The 18,355-nt window shown below is 42.6% G+C and overlaps 1 protein-coding gene across 22 annotated transcripts in view; it reads left to right on the top strand.

The window, feature by feature from the left end:
* Positions 1-18,355, top strand: part of LARGE1 (LARGE xylosyl- and glucuronyltransferase 1) — an 856,162-nt gene that overhangs the window by 266,869 nt on the left and 570,938 nt on the right. For all 22 annotated transcript variants that reach the window (XR_007067993.1, XR_002958722.2, XR_007067994.1 and 19 more), the window contains one exon: positions 5,288-5,589. Coding sequence is in view for 19 of the 22 variants with exons in the window: in XM_024452302.2 (XP_024308070.1) it covers positions 5,288-5,589 (302 nt within the window). In the remaining 3 variants the exon portion in view is untranslated. The remainder of the gene's footprint in view (positions 1-5,287; positions 5,590-18,355) is intronic.

The raw sequence follows: 18,355 nt of genomic DNA, 5'->3' as shown, positions 1-18,355 counted from the left end.
TTTAAGCTCAGCTCTTTCTTACTCCAAATCCCATGCTCTTACTTATCTACTTGATTTGTTTGCTTTTCTCAGTTCTCTCTCCCTCTTCCCCAGCATCTAATATTATAATGAGATGTCTTTTTAAATAACTAGTAGTTTATGATGTGCTAGGCATTTTATGCCTTTTTTTAACAAAAAGTTATAGTTGTTAGTTCTTCTCTTTCTCTCTTCCTCAAATGCTTGCTAAGTATAGGGAGCATGCCAGGACCTGGGGATGGAGACTGGAGATTGGGCGGTGCCACTCAAGGTGTGATCTGCAGGCCGTTGTTCGTCCTTCTATTTGTCAGGGCTCTTTAGAGAAGCAGAACCAATAGAGTGTGCATATACAGCTATGTTTATTGTAAGGAATTGGCTTGCATGATTATGGAAGCTGACAAGTTCCAAGATCTTCAGGTTGAGTCAGCAAGCTGGAGACCCAGGAGAGCCGATGTGTAGTTCTAGTCTGAGTCCGAAAGCCTGAGAACCAGGAGATCTCATGGTGTAGTTCCAGTCCAAATTCCAACAGGCTCGAGACCCAGGAAGATCTGGTGATTCAGTTTGAGTTTGAAGGCAAGAAAAAGATGATGTCCCAATTCAATGGCTGTCAGGCAAGATGAGTTCTCTTGAATGTGGAAGATGGTCAGCATTTTTGTTCTACTCATGCCTTCAACTAATGGGAGGTAGCCAACCCACACCAGGGGAGGACACCTGCTTTACTCTGTCTACCAATTTAAATGTTAACCTCATCCAAAAACACCTTTAAAAAAAAACACCCAAAATGATGTTTGATCACATATTTGGGTACCACCTGGCCCAGTTGAGTTGACACATAAAATTAACCATATCCTCAAATTGTTGCTGCTCTGCAACAAGATACATATGGAACTTGAGACTAAGCATTTTAGAAACATCTAGAGCAAATGGACTTTGTGGCCAGCATCAAGTGTATGATCAATAGTCTTGATTAACGTAGTGTAGACCAGTTTGTTTAATTCCAGTGATGAGTTACACGTGGGCCAAGCTCTGTTTTACCTTTGAGTGTTAGGGGCAAATTTTTATCCAGGATGGACTGGGGGAGGGAGAAAAACTGGTTCTTCACCCAAGCTCCTTGTGCTTCCATGCCTCTCTTGCTGTCTTCACCACTGGTAGTTTGAGAAATATCAGTGTGGGCACAGTTGTTTACATAGCCATAAAATCGTATGTAATGGGCTGTATAACTACGACCTATACACAAAGCTTGAGGAGCGTTCCTGGGAGGGACCAGTGCCTGTAAAACGTAACAGAGAAACGTAAGGAGGCTGGCTGTTCACTACCCTGACCCTCTCTCCTGCTTGTGCTCCCAGAGAGTCAGGAGAAGCCTGAGCAAAGAGATCAGGAGCCAGAAAAAGGAATAGTCAGGAATAAAAGCAAAAGTCAGGATGAATAAAACGAGAATGAGCTGTGAATCTGGCAAGGCAGCAGGGCCCACTATTCACTTCTGATCATGCGGTGTTGGGATCATCTGGACCACACAGCTACGGAGAGTTAGAGCTGAGAGGGGACTCGGAGCACATCTCCAGGGCCCCGCCTTTCAGAAGGCAAAACTGGCTTGAGGAAAAGGAAGGGGCCGGCTCAAGATAATGGACCTTTAAAACAAACCAACAAACCGGAAAGGACAATTCTGCCATTAATTGAGCACTTCCTCCATGCCAGCAGTTGGGCACAGCATGAATGTTGCTTTTTTCAACATTGATTCCTCTGAGACCTGACATTAATTATTTAGTTGTGGCTTCATTGGTGACAAATCTATAGGGCTTTTAAAAGTGGGAAAACCCCCGCACGTCTTTGAGAGTTAAATTTGGTTAAAACCATTTGGGGTCTAAAGCAGGGGAGAAATGGACACAGGATGTCGATAGCATTTCTCTTAAGCCCACAATCAGACAATCATAATTTACGTAAATGTTTAAAATATGGGACTTTCAGGAGAGGGGCTAGAGAATGTGACCCGGCCTCTTTGGTGAAGCCTGCTTGCTTGCTCCTCCATGTTCTTACGGATTAACCATGACCCCGGCTAAGGATGAAGGCAGGAAGCTCAGCAGTGCCTCCTCTTGGAGTATATCTCAAAGGAAGCCAAGGTCTGTTGACTGCTTGTTCCCCCATACAACACACAGAACAACTCTGTGTTCTGAAAATACAGCGTGCTTTACACCTTAAATTACATCATCAACTCATCTTACCCATGACATCACCTTCCCTCACTGAGAAAGGGTCACAGGAACTCACTGATGCCAAGCGCCTCCCAATAAGGGACACCATGCTCTGTATTTTGTTATTTTGCTTAAGCCTCCCATCACTCTTACTGGAACATTTTATGTTCCCATTTCACAGAAGAAAAAATCGAAGCTCAGAGCACTGATGTAACTCCTCCAAAGAGGAAACTCACAGGTCCCATTTGTTAATTTTCTAGAGACCCTGAGACCCTGTTGAGCTTCCTGCATTTCTGCCCAAATGCTCCAAAATCCTTTCCTGAGAAGGAAGACCCTCTCAGTCTCCTGAGCGTCTTTACCTCTAACTTAGCACATATATGCAGGAGCATAGCTGAGCTCAAAGTCCAGGAGACCTTGTTTACAGTCAAACTGCAACATAATAGGAACACAGTTTAAACTTTAGTCTTGGTTTCTGCATCAGTAATAGGGATAACTATTACTACTTAATTGTACTGATAGCAACCTAAGGCATTATCAGCATGAACCACCTAGCGTGGTGCAGATCCATGATAGACACTACAGAAGGTGTAACTCCCGAGGAAGCCAGAGGTTCATCTTTACCCACCCCTGCTCAAAGGGTCGATGTTGGTTGAGAAAACGCAATTATTAATAGCTGCCTATTCTTTTTCATTCTCAGTTGTACCAAACAGGGAGACAGGTTTCAAAAGCTTGGGTTGAAGCTTGTAATTGGCCAGTCGGTGACAATGCAACCCTAATCAACCTGTGATTTCACGTCCCCTACCAATTCTGCATCGGCCTTTGATTTGTGGTCCCAGGCAGTGCAATTCATTGAGTCATATTTGTTGCATTGATAGGAGAAGACCAGGCACTTAGGCGTTTAACCCTGAGGTGATTAAGAGGAAAAAAAATGAGTCATATTTGTTAAGGCCCAAAGATACATCAAAAAGCCCTGGGCAGAGGCCGACACAAGCACAAGTGAGACCTGCAGGGTGTAATTCATCACATTCTTTGATCCTCAAGTTTGTGAGTCACAGAGACTCTCTGGGACAGTTTTGAAGCTCAGGGGTCTGGGCAGGAAGGAAAAACTTGAAGTATGGAAAAAGAGGAATGTTTTTTTGACAGGCAGCTGAGAGAGGACGATTTTCTAGAGATATGCTTTTTTTGCTTGGTAACCCCTGAGGTGGCTGTAAATGTAGCTGGAGCCCAGGATTTCTGCAGAGTGGAAACAGAAATAAGTGATAGCTTTGGGTATGCCTTGTGCCACTGGGGCTCCTGAACAGTAAGCATGCCTTGAGCGCCTACTTTATACAAGGTGATATAAGTATCCTTGGGAGATGGGGTTTTTATACTAATAAGTGTTTGTTTTTTTTTAATGTTAGCTCTCTGAATAGCCTATAATGAAAGTTTATTGAAGTGGAGAGTGTACAGGCCCAGATATCAGAGAGACCTGGGTGCGAATTCTGACATCACCATTGTGGTGGCATCACATTGAGAGACCTGCTTATCGTCTCTGTGCCTCAGTTTTTTGTGTTGTTTTTGTTTTTGTTTTTTGTTTTGAGACAGAGTCTTGCTCTGTCGCCAGGCTGGAATGCAGTGGTGCAATCTCGGCTTACTGCAACCCCTGCCTCCAGGGTTCAAGCAATTCCCCTGCCTCAACCTCACGAGTAGCTGGGACTGTATACAGGTGCGTGCCACCATGCCTGGCTAACTTTTTGTATTTTAGTAGAGACGGGGTTTCACTAGCTTGGCCAGGATGGTCTCGATCTCCTGACCTCGTGATTTGCCCGCCTTGGCCTCCCAAAATGCTGGGATTACAGGCATGAGCCACCACACGCGGCCGTGCCTCAGTTTTTATTGCAGGGTTGTATGATTGTTACATGGAGTGTTGCTGGCACTCACTTTAATGGTTAACTGTTTTTCTGGGAAAACCATGAGATGGGTCATGCTTCTACTTCTTTTTTCCTTGTTGCTTTTAATATTTTATTCTTGGCATGGAGCCATGCATCCAGTCTTCCAGCATTTCTCAGACCTTGTGACATGTTAACCACAAAGACAGGTAAGACCCGCCTTTGCCTACATTGAACTCCCAGTCTTCATAGGCAACATTTAGTAAAGCTGTTTACCAAATACAGTATGGCAGATACATGTTTTCATAGCGCTACATACAAATTATTTCGGAATATGTGGAAGGATATCTTGCCTGCAAATGGAAGAAGGTTTCCCCTGAGAGGTGATGCTTTTAAAACAGGATTTTGAAAGATGTATAGGAGTTTGCATAGGAAGAGCTCAATAAACTTAGTCATTATTATTATCTTTTTTCTTTTTTTTTTTTTTTTTTTTTGAGACGGAGTCTCACTCTGGCCCAGGCTGGAGTGCAGTGGTGCGATCTCGGCTCACTGCAAGCTCCGCCTCCCGGGTTCTTGCCATTATCCTGCCTCAGCCTCCCAAGTAGCTGGGACTACAGGTGTGTGCCACCAAGCCCGGCTAATTTTTTTTTTTTTTTTTGTATTTTTAGTAGAGACCGGGTTTCACCGGTTAGCCAGGATAATCTCAATCTCCTGACCTCGTGATCCGCCCGTCTTGGCCTCCCAAAGTGCTGGGATCACAGGCGTGAGCCACTGCGCCTGGCCTATTATTTTTTCCTTATTACTCGTTCTCTTCCTCTTGCTCCCCTCCACTTCCTGGTACTCCTTCTCCCCTCCCTTGTCTTTCTCCCCAATCCGCCCACTTTGTATTCATAATTCTTTATTGTTAAGAAGCCTACTTAGAAACATGCCAAGTAGGGAGAGGAAGACAGTGCATTTAATTAGAAACAATTTTATTATGATTGCCTTCTCTAAAAGGCATATTAGCTTTTATCACCATAATAAGTTGTTCTGTTCTCAACTTTGTTCCCAGTTCAATCTGGATGCGTTTATTTGTAACTCACTTTCCATCTGTTTTCCTTAAACATGGGATTGTGCAAGGAGCCTCGCCATGTAGTAAGGGATGTCTGGGGAACTTGGAGGGGCTTGAGGCATGGTTCATCCAGATTAAAGCTTCCCTGGTGTTTCGCTCCCCAGATGGAAAGCCCGTGTCTCTGTCACCGCTGGAGTCCCAGGCACACAGCCCCAGGTACACGGCCTCCAGCCAGCGGGAGCGCGAGAGCCTGGAGGTGCGCATGCGCGAGGTGGAGGAGGAGAACCGCGCCCTCCGCAGGCAGCTCAGCCTGGCCCAGGGCCGAGCCCCATCCCATCGCCGAGGCAACCACTCCAAGACCTACTCCATGGAGGAGGGCACTGGAGACAGCGAGAACCTTCGGGCTGGCATCGTGGCAGGCAACAGCTCCGAGTGTGGGCAGCAGCCGGTCGTGGAGAAATGCGAGGTAAAGGGCATCTGGAGCCTGGGGAGGAAGTTGTCCAAAGTCCCGATTGCCCTCACCCCTTGCAAATGCCTCCTGGAAACACAGCCAGATGCCAAGAGCTGGCATTCTTGATTCTAGCCCGGGTGTGTAAGTCTGGCTTGCTCGCTAACTTTGCTCAATGGTCTGACAAGTCATTTAGCCTCTCTGAGCTTCTGTTTTCCCATCTGAAAATGGGGATAAGAAGGCGTAATCTACAGATATTAAGAGGAGCTCACTGATGGAACCTACCGCTTGTTTCTATGTGGTTCATTTTGACATGCGCAGGGTTTCTACACCTAGCTGTCATCCTGTAGGCCCCTGCTTCTTAGACTATAGTGTGAATGGTACACCTGGAGTTGTGGCCCAGTTGGGCAGTTTTCTTAGACCTCATTATCACTTCACTGTATAAACAGCCTCTCCAATTCAGAACCACAGACTTGTTCCTTATCTAAAGAAGTAATTTGAACTTTTATAGCCTAATATCACTTCTCCCCTTTTAGGGTATGCTTTCTTTCTTAGCAGCTCTTTGGAAATGTGGGATATTTATTGTCCTCTATTTCCTCAAATACCTGCATCCACGCTTCTATGTGCAGTGAACACACATACACTCATTCCCCATTGTTTCCAGTTCTCATGGTGGAGATGAATTAGGGCATGCCTATTCATAGGAAGGCCTTTTGAGAGATGGGCGAGACTGAATTCATATCCCAGCTTTAGTGATTTATGCAGAGAGTACCCTTGATCCAGTTGCATAACTTCTGTGAACTCCAGGTGTCTCATCAGTAAACTTTAGGAAATAATACCTGCTTCATGGAGTATTTGTGAGAATTAAACAGAATGGCCATATAAAGGCTTGACTAGCGCCTAGTACATAGTACATTTTCAAAATTATGGTTAGTTTTTACTATTCTTAGTTAAACATAGATAGGACCTGCTGTTTCTTTATTCCATTTTCTGGAATAAAGAGTGGTTAGACTTCAAACTCCCTAAAGAGAATGCTTTGCAAACTGTAGTATTCTATTCTAGTGAATGGGATTATTAGTAATATTGGTGATACTATCCAATGAGACTATCCAGTGTCACTAACAAATGGCTTCCTCAGTGATGTAGACTAAGTTCTTTGGAAGTTCAGTGGTGAGGGAGGAGGACAAGGAGAGCCCCTGAGGATAGGAGCATTTCTCAGGTTTCTCAAGCCTGGTTGAAAAGTGGATTGGTGGAGAGGTAGAGAGCATCCGACAGAGGATGTCCAACGAGGAATGTGTCATATGAGTAGGAACGATGTGAAACAAACATCCATTATAGCAGGATTCGGGATGTCACAAGTTGGTCCTTCAGCCAAGCCCAGAGAACCTGGGCGAGGAGGTGGTTCTACTCCATCATCATCATTCATTTATTTATCCATTCGTTCAGCAAACATATTGCACTCGTGTTTTGTATCTCATTCTGTTTTATGTGTTGGGAAACAGCAGTGAACAACAGCAAAAAAGACAGAACCCCTTTCCCTCTGGTTCTTACATCTGTCATCAGAGGTAGAGGGAGAGATGATAAACAAATAAATAAATACAAATGTCAGGACGTGATAAATGCTGCACATTTATTCAGCCCTGACTGTATGCCAGGCCCAGTGCCCTTTAGTCTTTGACAACCACTGTCAGTGGCTTCTGTTACTTAATATCTCTATGTATGAAAACGGGCATTCAGCCACGTTAACAAATTCCTTTGGTCTTGGCTGGTCTGGGGAGGGCCCTAATTTAGGGATCTTCTGTTCTTGCCTTGGTGAAGGCATATTTGATTTCTTTCAGGTTCTCTGCTAGCAGATCACAGCCATGGTGTTGGTTTAGAAAGGGTTAGTTTGGATGGGAACTCTGCTACCCAGGTGAGATGGCCCAAAACGAGCAAATTTTTTCTCCAAGCGTATTTACACTATTATGACATAGAACCTAAAGAACAAATAAGAATCGAGGAGGGGAAAAATAAAAAAGGAAAAGGGGAAAAGAAGGCATAAAAAAGAGAAAAAGAGTTGTGTTTGTGGGGACATTTCTCTTCCTTCTGTAATCTCTCTAGCCAAGAGTTTCACTCCCCTGCTCAGTCTTCTGAGAAATAACTCATTGTAATTTGGGAGTCCCCTGTACAATTGTGTAGACCAAAGACCATTGGCTTTTGAAGCTGGGAGTTGTGAGTCTAAATCCTGGCCCCATTTCTAGTTTAACAGCTATGTGGCTTTGAGCAAGTAAGATCACTTTTCTGTGGCTGTTTCCTCATTTGCAAACTGTGGATTAAAATCAAGTTCTGGGCCCGACACAGTGGCTCATGCCTGTAATCCCAGCACTTTGGGAGTCCGAGGTGGGTGGATCACAGGGTCAACAGATTGAGACCATCCCGGCCAACATGGTGAAACCCCGTCTCTACTAAAAATAGCAAAAATCAGCCGGATGTGGTGGCGCGCATCTGTAGTCCCAGCTACTTGGGAGGCTGAGGCAGGAGAATCGTTTAAACCCAGGAAGTGGAGATTGCAGTGAGCCGAGATGGTGCCACTGCACTCCAGCCTGGGTGACAGTGCAAAACTCCGTCTCAAAAGAAAAAAAAAATCAAGTTCCTGCCTTTTACTATTTCAGTGGTGACAATGGATATTGGAACTTGAGGGAAATTCTAATGTAGTTAGTTGTATCAGTCTTAGATTTCACTGCAGGTTATCAAAAATCCCAACTAACACTGGCTTAAGCAAGATTTGCATCTTGTTTCTCATTGTGTTTAAGATGTCTGGAGGCCATCAGTGTAGGGATGGCAGTATTGGGATTTCTTTATCTTTCACCCCAGCCTGCTTGATTGACATTCCCAAGGTCATCTCATGACCCATAATGATTGTCAGAGCTTTAGCTATGTTGTCCACATTCCAGCTGGCAGGAAAGAAGTGTTAAGGTGGGACATACCACTTTCCTTAAAGAACGTATCTTGGAAATTTCACACTTCAGATCCTTTTAGATCCTATTGACACAACTTAGTTACAGGGATACCCTTAGCTGCCACCTAGGTCCAAGAGAGCCTGGAACAGATAGATTTTACTCAAGGAAGCCATGTTTTTCTGGAACATTCTGGAGTTCTGTTACTGTGGTCACAGTGAACCATGTCTGTCACATGGGTGGTTCTCAAACTTGGTTGTGTGTTAGAATTACATATCAAAAATGTGTATCCATGAGACCTACCCCAGACCTACTGACTAAGAATCTCTGGGAGTAGCCCCTGAGAATACAGATATTTAACAAAAGAATATATCCAGATGATTCTAAGATAGGAGAGATTGTTTGGAAACCACTGCTTTAGGCTGGACACAGTGGCTCACGCCTATAATCCCAGCACTTTGGCAGGCCAAGGCGGGTGGATCACCTGAGTTCAGGAGTTTCAGACCAGCCTGGCCAACATGGTGAAACCCTGTTTCTACTAAAAATACAAAAAAATAGCTGGGCGTGGTGGAGGGTGCCTGAAATCCCAGCTACTTGGGAGGCTGAGGCAGGAGAATCGTTTGAACCTGGGAGGCGGAGGTTGCAGTGAGCTGAGGTCATGCCATTGCACTCCAGCCTGGGCAATAGAGCGAGACTCCGTCTCAAAAAAACAAAACAAAACAAAAAAAGGAAACCACTGCTTTAAGGAGCAGCACATAGGATTGATGAATTTTCTTTATCCCTGTGTTCCTTGAAACATAAAACAGTCATATAGGAATTCAGATCTTGAACTCGTTGACTTTTTTTTTTTTAAACTTTAAATTCTGGAGTACATGTGCAGAATGTGCAGGTTTGTTACATAGGTATACATGTGCCATGGTTGGTTTACAGTACCTATCAACCATCATCTAGGTTTTATGCCCCACATATATTAGGTATTTGTCCTAGTGCTCTCCCTCCCCTTGCCCCGCCCCTCAACAGGTCCCAGTGTGTGATGTTCCCCTCCCTGTGTCCATGCTTTCTCATTGTTCAACTCCCACTTACGAGAGAGAACATGTGGTGTTTGGTTTTCTGTTCCTGTGTTAGTTTGCTGAGAATGCTGTTTTCCAGCTTCATTCATGTCCCCACAAAGGACATGAACTCATTCTTTTTTATGGCCGCATAGTATTCCATGGTGTATATGTGCCACATTTTCTTTATCCAGTCTATCATTGATGGGCATTTGGGTTGGTTCCTAGTCTTTGCTATTGTGAATAGCACTGCAGTTAACATACGTGTGTGTGTCTTTATGGCAGAATGATTTATAATCCTTTGGGTATATACCCAGTAGATTGCTGGGTCAAATGGTATTTCTGGTTCTAGATCCTTGAGGAATCACCACATTGTCTTCCACAATGATTGAACTTATTTACATCCCCACCAACAGTGTAAAAGCGTTCCTATTTCTCCACATCCTTTCCAGCATCTGTTATTTCCTGACTTTTTAATGATCGCCATTCCAACTGGCATGAGATGGTATCTCATTGTGGTTTTGATTTGCATTTCTTTGATGACCAGTGATGCTGAGCTTTTCTTCATATGTTTGTTGGCCGTATAAGTGTCTTCTTTTGAGAAGTGTCTCTTCATACCTTCGCCACTTTTTGATGGGGTCATTTGTTTTTTCTTGTTAATTTGTTTAAGTTCCTTGTAGATTCTGGATATTAGCCCTTTGTCAGATGGATAGGTTGCAAAAATTTTCTCCCATTCTGTAGGTTGCCTGTTTACTCTGATGATAGTTTCTTTTGCTGTGCAGAAGCTCTTTAGTTTAATTAGATCCCATTTGTCAATTTTGGCTTTTGTTGCCACTGCTTTTGGTGTTTCAGTCATGAAGTCTTTGCCCATGACTATATCCTGAATGGTATTGCCTAGGTTTTCTTCTAGGGTTTTTATGGTTTTAGGTCTTATGTTTAAGTCTTTAATCCATCTTGAGTTAATTTTTGTATAAGGTGTAAGGAAGGGGTCCAGTTTCAGTTTTCTGCATATGGCTAGCCAGTTTTTCCAGCACCATTTATTAAATAGGAAATCCTTTCCCTATTTCTTGTTTTTGTCAGGTTTGTCAAAGATCAGATAGTTGTAAATGTGTGGTTAATTTCTGCGGCCTCTGTTCTGTTTCATTGGTCTATATATCTGTTTTGGTACCAGTACCATGCTGTTTTGGTTACTGTAGCCTTGTAGGAGTACCATGCTGCTTTGGTTACTGTAGCCTTGTAGTATAGTTTGAAGTCAGGTAGCATAATGCCTCCAGCTTTGTTCTTTTTGCTTAAGATTGTCTTGGCTAGATGGGCTCTTTTTTGGTTCCATATGAAATTTAAAGTAGTTTTTTCTAATTCTTTGAAGAAAGTCAATGGTAGCTTGATGGGAATAGCATTGAATATATAAATTACTTCGGGCAGTATGGCCACTTTCACAATATTGATTTTCCTATCCATGAGCATGGAATGTTTTTCCATTTGTTTGGGTCCTCTCTTATTTCCTTGAGCAGTGGTTTGTAGTTCTTGAAGAGGTCCTTCATAACCCTTATAAGTTGTATTCCTCAGTATTTTATGTTCTTTGTAGCAATTGTGAATGGGAGTTCACTCATGATTTGGCTCTCTGTTTGTCTGTTATTGGTGTATAGGAGTGCTTGTGATTTTTTCACCTTGGTTTTGTATCCTGAGATTTTGCTGAAGTTGCTTATCAGCTTAAGGAGTTTTGGGCTGAGAAGATGGGGTTTTCTAAATATATAATCATGTCATCTGCAAACAGAGAGAATTTCACTTCCTTACTTCCTGTTTGAATACCCTTTAATTCTTTCTCTTGCTTGATTGCCCTGGCCAGAACTTCCAACACTATGTTAAATAGGAGTGATGAGAGAGGGCATCCTTGTCTTGTGCCAGTTTTCAAAGGGAATGCTTCCAGCTTTTGCCCATTCAGTATGATATTGGCTGTGGGTTTGTCATAAATAGCTCTTGTTATTTTGAGATTTGTTCCATCAAAACCTAGTTTATTGAGTGTTTTTAGCATGAAGAGGTGTTGAATTTTATCGAAGACCTTCTCTGCATCTATTGATATAATCATGTGGTTTTTGTCATTGGTTCTGTTTATGTAATGGATTACATTTATTGATTTGCGTGTGTTGAACCAGCCTTGCATCCCAGGGATGAATCCAACTTGATAGTGGTGGATAAGCTTTTTAATGTGCTGCTGGATTCGGTTTGCCGGTATTTTACCGAGGATTTTCACATTGATGTTCATCAGGGATATTGGCCTGAAATTTTCTTTTTTTGTTGTGTCTCTGCCAGGTTTTGGTGTTAGGGTGATGCTGGCCTCATAAAATGAGTTAGGGAGGAATCCCTCTTTTTTTATTTTTGGAATAGTTTCAGAAGGAATGGCACCAGCTCCTCTTTGTACCTCTGGTAAGATTTGGCTGTGAATCCATCTGGTCCTGGGCTTTTTTTGGTTGGTAGGCTATTAATTACTGCCTCAATTTCAGAACTTGTTATTGGTCTATTCAGGGATTCGATTTCTTCCTGGTTTAGTCTTGGGAGGATGTATATGTCCAGGAATTTATCCATTTCTTCTAGATTTCCTAGTTTATTTGTGTAGAGATGTTTACAGTATTCTCTGATGGTAGTTTGTATTTCTGTGGAATCAGTGGTGATGTCCCCTTTATCATCTTTTACTGTGTCTATTTGTTCTTCTCCTTTTTCTTCTTTATTAGTCTAGCTAGTGGCCTATATATTTTGTTAATCTTTTCAAAAGACCAACTCCTGGATTCACTGATTTTTTTGAAGGGTTTTTTGTGTCTCTATCTCCTTCATCCATGAGCATGGAATGTTTTTCCATTTGTTTCTGCTCTGATCTTAGTTATTTCTTGTCTTCTGCTAGGTTTTGAATTTGTTTGCTCTTGCTTCTCTAGTTGTTAGGGTGTCAATTTTAGATCTTTCCTGCTTTCTGTTGTGGGCATTTAGTGCTATAAATTTCCCTATAAACACTGCTTTAGCTGTCTTCCAGAGATTCTGGTATGTTGTGTCTTTGTTCTCATTGGTTTCAGAGAACTTATTTATTTCTGCCTTAATTTTGTTATTTACCCAGTAGTCATTCAGGAGCATGTTGTTCAGTTTCCATGTAGTTGTGCAGTTTTGAGTGAGTTTCTTAATCCTGAGCTCTAATTTGATTGCACTGTGGTCTGAGAGACTGTTTGTTATGATTTCTGTTCTTTGCATTTGCTGAGGAGTGTTTTATTTCCAATTATGTGGTCGATTTTAGAATAAGTGCTTTATGGTGCTGGGCAGAATGTATATTCTGTTGATTTGGGGTGGGGAGTTCCGTAGATATTTATTAAGTCCACTTGGTCCAGAGCTGAGTTCAAGTCCTGAATATTCTTGTTAATTTTCTGCTCATTGATCTGTCTAATACTGACAATGGGGTATTAAAGTCTCCCACTATTATTGTGTGGGAGTCTAAGTCTCTTTGTAGATATCTAAGAACTTAATGAATCTGGGTGCTCCAGTATTGGGTGTGTATATATTTAGGATAGTTAGCTCTTCATGTTACATTGATCCCTTTACCATTATGTAATGCACTTCTTTGTCTCTTTTGGTCTTTGTTGATTTAAAGTGTGTTTTATCAGAGACTAGGATTGCATCTCCTGCCTTTTTTTTTTTTTTTTTTTTTTTTTGCTTTCCATTTGCTTGGTAAATATTCCTCCATTTCTTTATTTTGAGCTTATGTGTATCTTTGCACATGAGATGGGTCTCCTGAATACAGCACACTGATGGGTCTTGACTCTATCCAATTTGCCAGTCTGTGTCTTTTAACTGAGGCATTTAGCCCATTTACATTTAAGGTTAATATTGTTATGTGTGAATTTGATCCTGTCATCATGATGCTAGCTGGTTATTTTGCACATTAGTTGATGCAGTTTCTTCATAATGTCATTGATCTTTATAATTTGGTATGTTTTTGCAGTGGCTGGTGCTAGTTTTTCCTTTCCATATTTAGTGCTTCCTTCAGAAGCTCTTATAAGGCAGGCCTAGTGGTGACAAAATCCTTCAGGAGGATTTGCTTGTCTGTAAAGGATTTTATTTCTCCTTTGCTTATGAAACACAGTTTGGCTGGATATGAAATTCTGGTTTGAAAATTCTTTTCTTTAAGAATGTTGAATATTGATCCCTATTCTATTCTGGCTTGTAGGGTTTCAGCATATTGATCTGCTGTTAGTGTGATGGGCTTCCCTCCATAGGTAGCCTGACCTTTCTTTCTGGATGCCCTTAACATTATTTCCTTTGTTTCAAACCTGGAGAATCTGACGATTATGTGTCTTGGGGTTGCCTTTCTGGAAGACTATCTTTGTGGTGTTCTCTGTATTTCCTGAATTTGAATGTTAGCCTGTCTTGCTAGGTTGGGGAAGTTCTCCTGGATAATATCCTGAAGAGTGTTTTCCAACTTGGTTCCATTCTCTCGGTCACTTTCAGGTACACCAATAAAATGTAGGTTTGTTCTTTTCACATAGTCCCATATTTCTTGGAGGCTTTGTTCATTACTTTTCATTTTTTTTCCTTTAATCTTGTCTTCACACTTTATTTCATTAAGTTGATCTTCAATCTCTGATATCCTTCTGTTTGATTGATTCGGCTATCGATACTTGTGTATGCTTCACAAAGTTCTCGTGCTGTGTTTTTCAGCTCCATCAGGTCATTGATGTTCTTCTTCTCTAAACTGGTTATTTTAGTTAGCATTTCCTGTAACCTTTTTTCAAGGTTCTTCACTTCCTTGCATTGGGTTAGAACATGCTCCTTTAGCTCAGAGGAGTTTGTTATTACCCAGCTTCTGAAGCCTACTTCTGTCAATTGGTCAAACTCATTCTCCATCCAGTTTTGTGCCCTTGCTGGAGAGGAGTTGCGATCATTTGGGGGAGAAGAGGCATTCTGGTTTTTGTTATTTTCAGCATTTTTGCAGTGGTTTTTCTTCATCTTCGTAGATTTATCTACCTTTGATCTTGGATGCTGATGGCCTTTTTTGTGGGCATCCTATTTGTTGATGTTGATGTTATTGCTTTATGTTTGTTAGTTTTCCTTCTAACAGGCCCCTCTTCTGCAGGTCTGCTGGAGTTTGGTGGAGGTCCACTCCATACCCTGTTTGCCTGGGTATCACCAGCGGAGGCTTCAGAACAACAAAGATTGCTGCCTGCTCCTTCCTCTGGAAGCTTTGTCCCAGAGGGGCACCCGCCCGTTGCCAGCCGGAGCTCTCCTGTTTGAGGTGTCTCCCAATCAGGAGGCACAGGAGTCAGGGACCCACTTGAGGAGGCGGAGTCTATCCCTTAGCAGAGCTTGAGTGCTGTGCTGGGAGATGGGCTGCTCTCTTCAGAGCCAGCAGGCAGGAATGTTTAAGTCCGCTGAAGCTGTGCCCACAGCCACCTTTTGCCCCAGGTGCTCTGTCTCACGGAGATGGGAGTTTTATCTATAAGCCCCTGACTGGAGCTGCTGCCTTTCTTTCAGAGGTGTCCTGCCCAGTGAGGAGGAATCTAGAGAGACAGTCTGGCCCCAGGTGCTTTGCCATGCCGTCATGAGTTCTGCACAGTCAATTAACACTGTGAGGGGAAAACCGCATACTCAGGCCTCAGTATGGTGGACGCCCCTTTCTCCACCAAGCTCAATCATCCCAGCTAGACTTCAGACTGCTGTGCTGGTGGGGAGAATTTCAAGCCAGTGTTTCTTAGCTTGCTGGGCTCTGTGGGAGTGGGACCAGCTGAGTGAGACCACTTGGCTCCCTGGCTTCAGCCCCCTTTCCAGGGGAGTGAACGATTCTGTCTCACTGGGATTCCAGCTGCTACTGGTGTATGAAAAAAAAACTCCTGCAGCTAGCTGGGTGTCTGCCTGAACTGCCATGTTGACTTTCGGTATAACTTATTTTCTAGTCTTTTGCACTTGAGAATTAGGTTTTGTTCTTCTTCTCTTTCTTTGTGTTTACTGATCATGTTAACTTCTTAGATTCTTAAAAAGTTATTTTTGGTAGAATTCTTCTATGAGGAACCCCTGGTCCTGTTCAGAACCTCCAATAGATGCACTTAAAAGTCTTGGCCTGCTACAGTCATATTTCAAAGCACACTCTCCACAAGGTGCTGGCCTCCTACCCATGAGCAGTGCACTTCCTCTCACTCCCTCATTTGGTGTCTTTAAGGATTTTAACGAAAAAGCCATAGAGGCAGACAAGAAATGTCAGTCAGTAGAGTCAAAATAGAAACTCCCTTCATCACAGCGCTTTTTGGTTCCAAGTGCTGAAGCTCATCTTGACATCCTGTCACGGTGCAGGGCCACGTAACCAGAGATGCTGCCACCATCTGTGGGTGTTGCGGAAACTTCTCTGGGCTCCGAAAAGCATTTCTGAAAACTCCTCTATCAATATGCCAAGGCTGTCAGCTGAGCTATCTGGTGATAGGAACAACGGGCCCTCATCAGTCCCTTTGCCCTCTTATCATTTGGTAATTATGTGTCTTTCAAATAGCTGCCTGTCTTATTCTTGCATATTTCTGTTGCCTGTGCAGTGCTGTTTCAGTGATGGCCTGGCCTCTGTGTGCCTCAGAAGTTGGAGCAGAACGATCCCCTTTGATCTTCACTCATGCACATGTGTGTATGGATGTGTGTATTTTTCTTGCCTTTCCGGTTCAGGTCTATTCTGGGACTCAGCTATTGTACGGAAGAAAAAACAGTCACTGGAACTGGTATCAGAATTCCTGAACAGGAGACTTTCCTTTGCTACTCATTAGTCTTGTGACCTTAGACAATTCAGTTACCTTTTGGGAGTCTATTTCATCATTATAAAATGGAAATAATAACATGTTCTTCCCAGTGCAATTGTGAGGATGAAATGAGGTGGAGGCAGGGGAAGCTAACTATGCATGAGTGTCACATATACTCATTATGAATATTCAACTTCTCCACTGGTACCTGAAAAATCACCTAACACTTAAATAATCTGAAACAGCACCAGTTATTTTATTAGCTGTCATGGTTTCTGTGGGTCAGAGATTTGAGAAGGACTTAGCTGAGTGGTTCTGGTATGGGGTCCCTCATACAGGTGGCATTAGTGTGTGGCTGGAGCTGGAACAGTACAATGCTGGAAGAGTGGGTGCTGACCCAACCTCCCTTTCTTTTAGACTCAGGTCCTCATGTGGTCTCTGCATGGGCTAGTTTGAGCTTCCTCACAGCATGGCAGCTCTAGGCAGTCAGCTGCTTACATGGCAGCTAAAGGCTTTAAGTACAAGTATTCCCGTAAGCAAGGCAGAAAGGAAGCACTTTTCATGACCTGGCCTCAGAAGCCACACAGTGTCACATCTGCTGATAGTGGATTCTGTTAGTTGAAATGGTCACAAAAGCCCACTCAGCACATACCCATCTCTCAATGAGAGGAACGTCTAGGCATTTGTGGATGTACTTAAGAACTGCCACAATGGATATTGTTATTATGGAAAGTGAATGAATGTTATCCTCTGATGCCAGACCACTCCTTAAGGAAGTACTCATTTTTCCTTCTGCTCCTTGCTTTGAACTTCATTTCTCAGTAGTAATGTATTATAGTTAATAACCGTTAATCAGTCCTTGAAATGTACCAGACATCATGCTAGAGCTTTACATAAAATATCTCATGTAATTCACACAACATATTTACCTTCATTTGACAGATAAGAAAACTGCTAGGAAAGGTTTTATAATTATTTCAAGGTCACACAGCCAGAAAGAGGTAGAGCTTGGGATTAAACCTAGGCAGTTTGATTCTAGAACCTGTTCTTTGAACCATTGCACTGAAGCTCTGTGAATTAGAGCTTGTGGGACCCAGACTCTCATCAGCTGCTGAGCCCAGATCCTTATTGTGTGCTTCACAGGGGCCTCACCTCTGCAGACTTTAGGGTTACCAGTCATTATATGGGGATCATCTTTCACCTTGGGGGCTTTAGCAGCCCCATGAGGTAATCGTTCCTCAGTGAGTTTAGGCAAAGATCTGTCTGTTCTTCTAAAAGAAGCTGAAATGTTTTAAATTATTCTCCAGACTATGGATGTATTTATTAGCTTAGTGGGGCGTTTGCATTTTGCTGGAGGCAACATGTTTATAAAACTTGATGCGTCTCACCTATATTCTGGGTCCTAACTAACCTTACAGTATTTTAATGCACTTTTTCTATTGTATCTTCATGGACTTTACATAATAACCCAGCAGTGAAGGCGTTTGCCAGCTATCTTTCCATATCCCACATTGCTGTTGGAGGATACTATCATAGCATTTAGACACACATTTTATTAGCTTCATAGGCCTTCTTTGGGGCTTCTTCAAGGATGTAAATCCACAAAAATAAAAATGTCCTCTTTAAATTTCAGGCCCTGAAATTAGGGGATGTTATAGCTGGAAGGAACCTGGTGGTATTGTCACGTGCAGTGATTTTCAGGGCACCTTAGGTACCCTCCCTGTATATGTTAGTTACTTATTGCTACATAGCCAGGTACCCTCAAAACTTAACAACTTAAAATGTCAAGCATTTATTATCTCATACAGTTTCTGAAAATTAGGAATCTGGGAGCAGCTTGGTTGGGGATTATGACTCTCAACCTTTAAAGAGATTACAATTAAGATGACATCAGGGGTTGCAGTCATCTGAAGGTTTGATTGGGGCTGAAGACTCTGTAACCATATAGTTTACTGACATGATTGGAATTCTCATTTCCTTAGGACTGTTCAAGTGTTCTCATAACATATCAGCTAGCTTTTCCCAGGGTAAGCAGTTTAAACAGAAGAAG

This window comes from Homo sapiens, chromosome 22 (genome assembly GCF_000001405.40).
Source record: "Homo sapiens chromosome 22, GRCh38.p14 Primary Assembly".
NCBI lineage: Eukaryota > Metazoa > Chordata > Mammalia > Primates > Hominidae > Homo > Homo sapiens.
The sequence above is the reverse complement of the archived record's forward strand: the minus strand, read 5'-3'. Positions and strand labels throughout refer to the sequence as shown.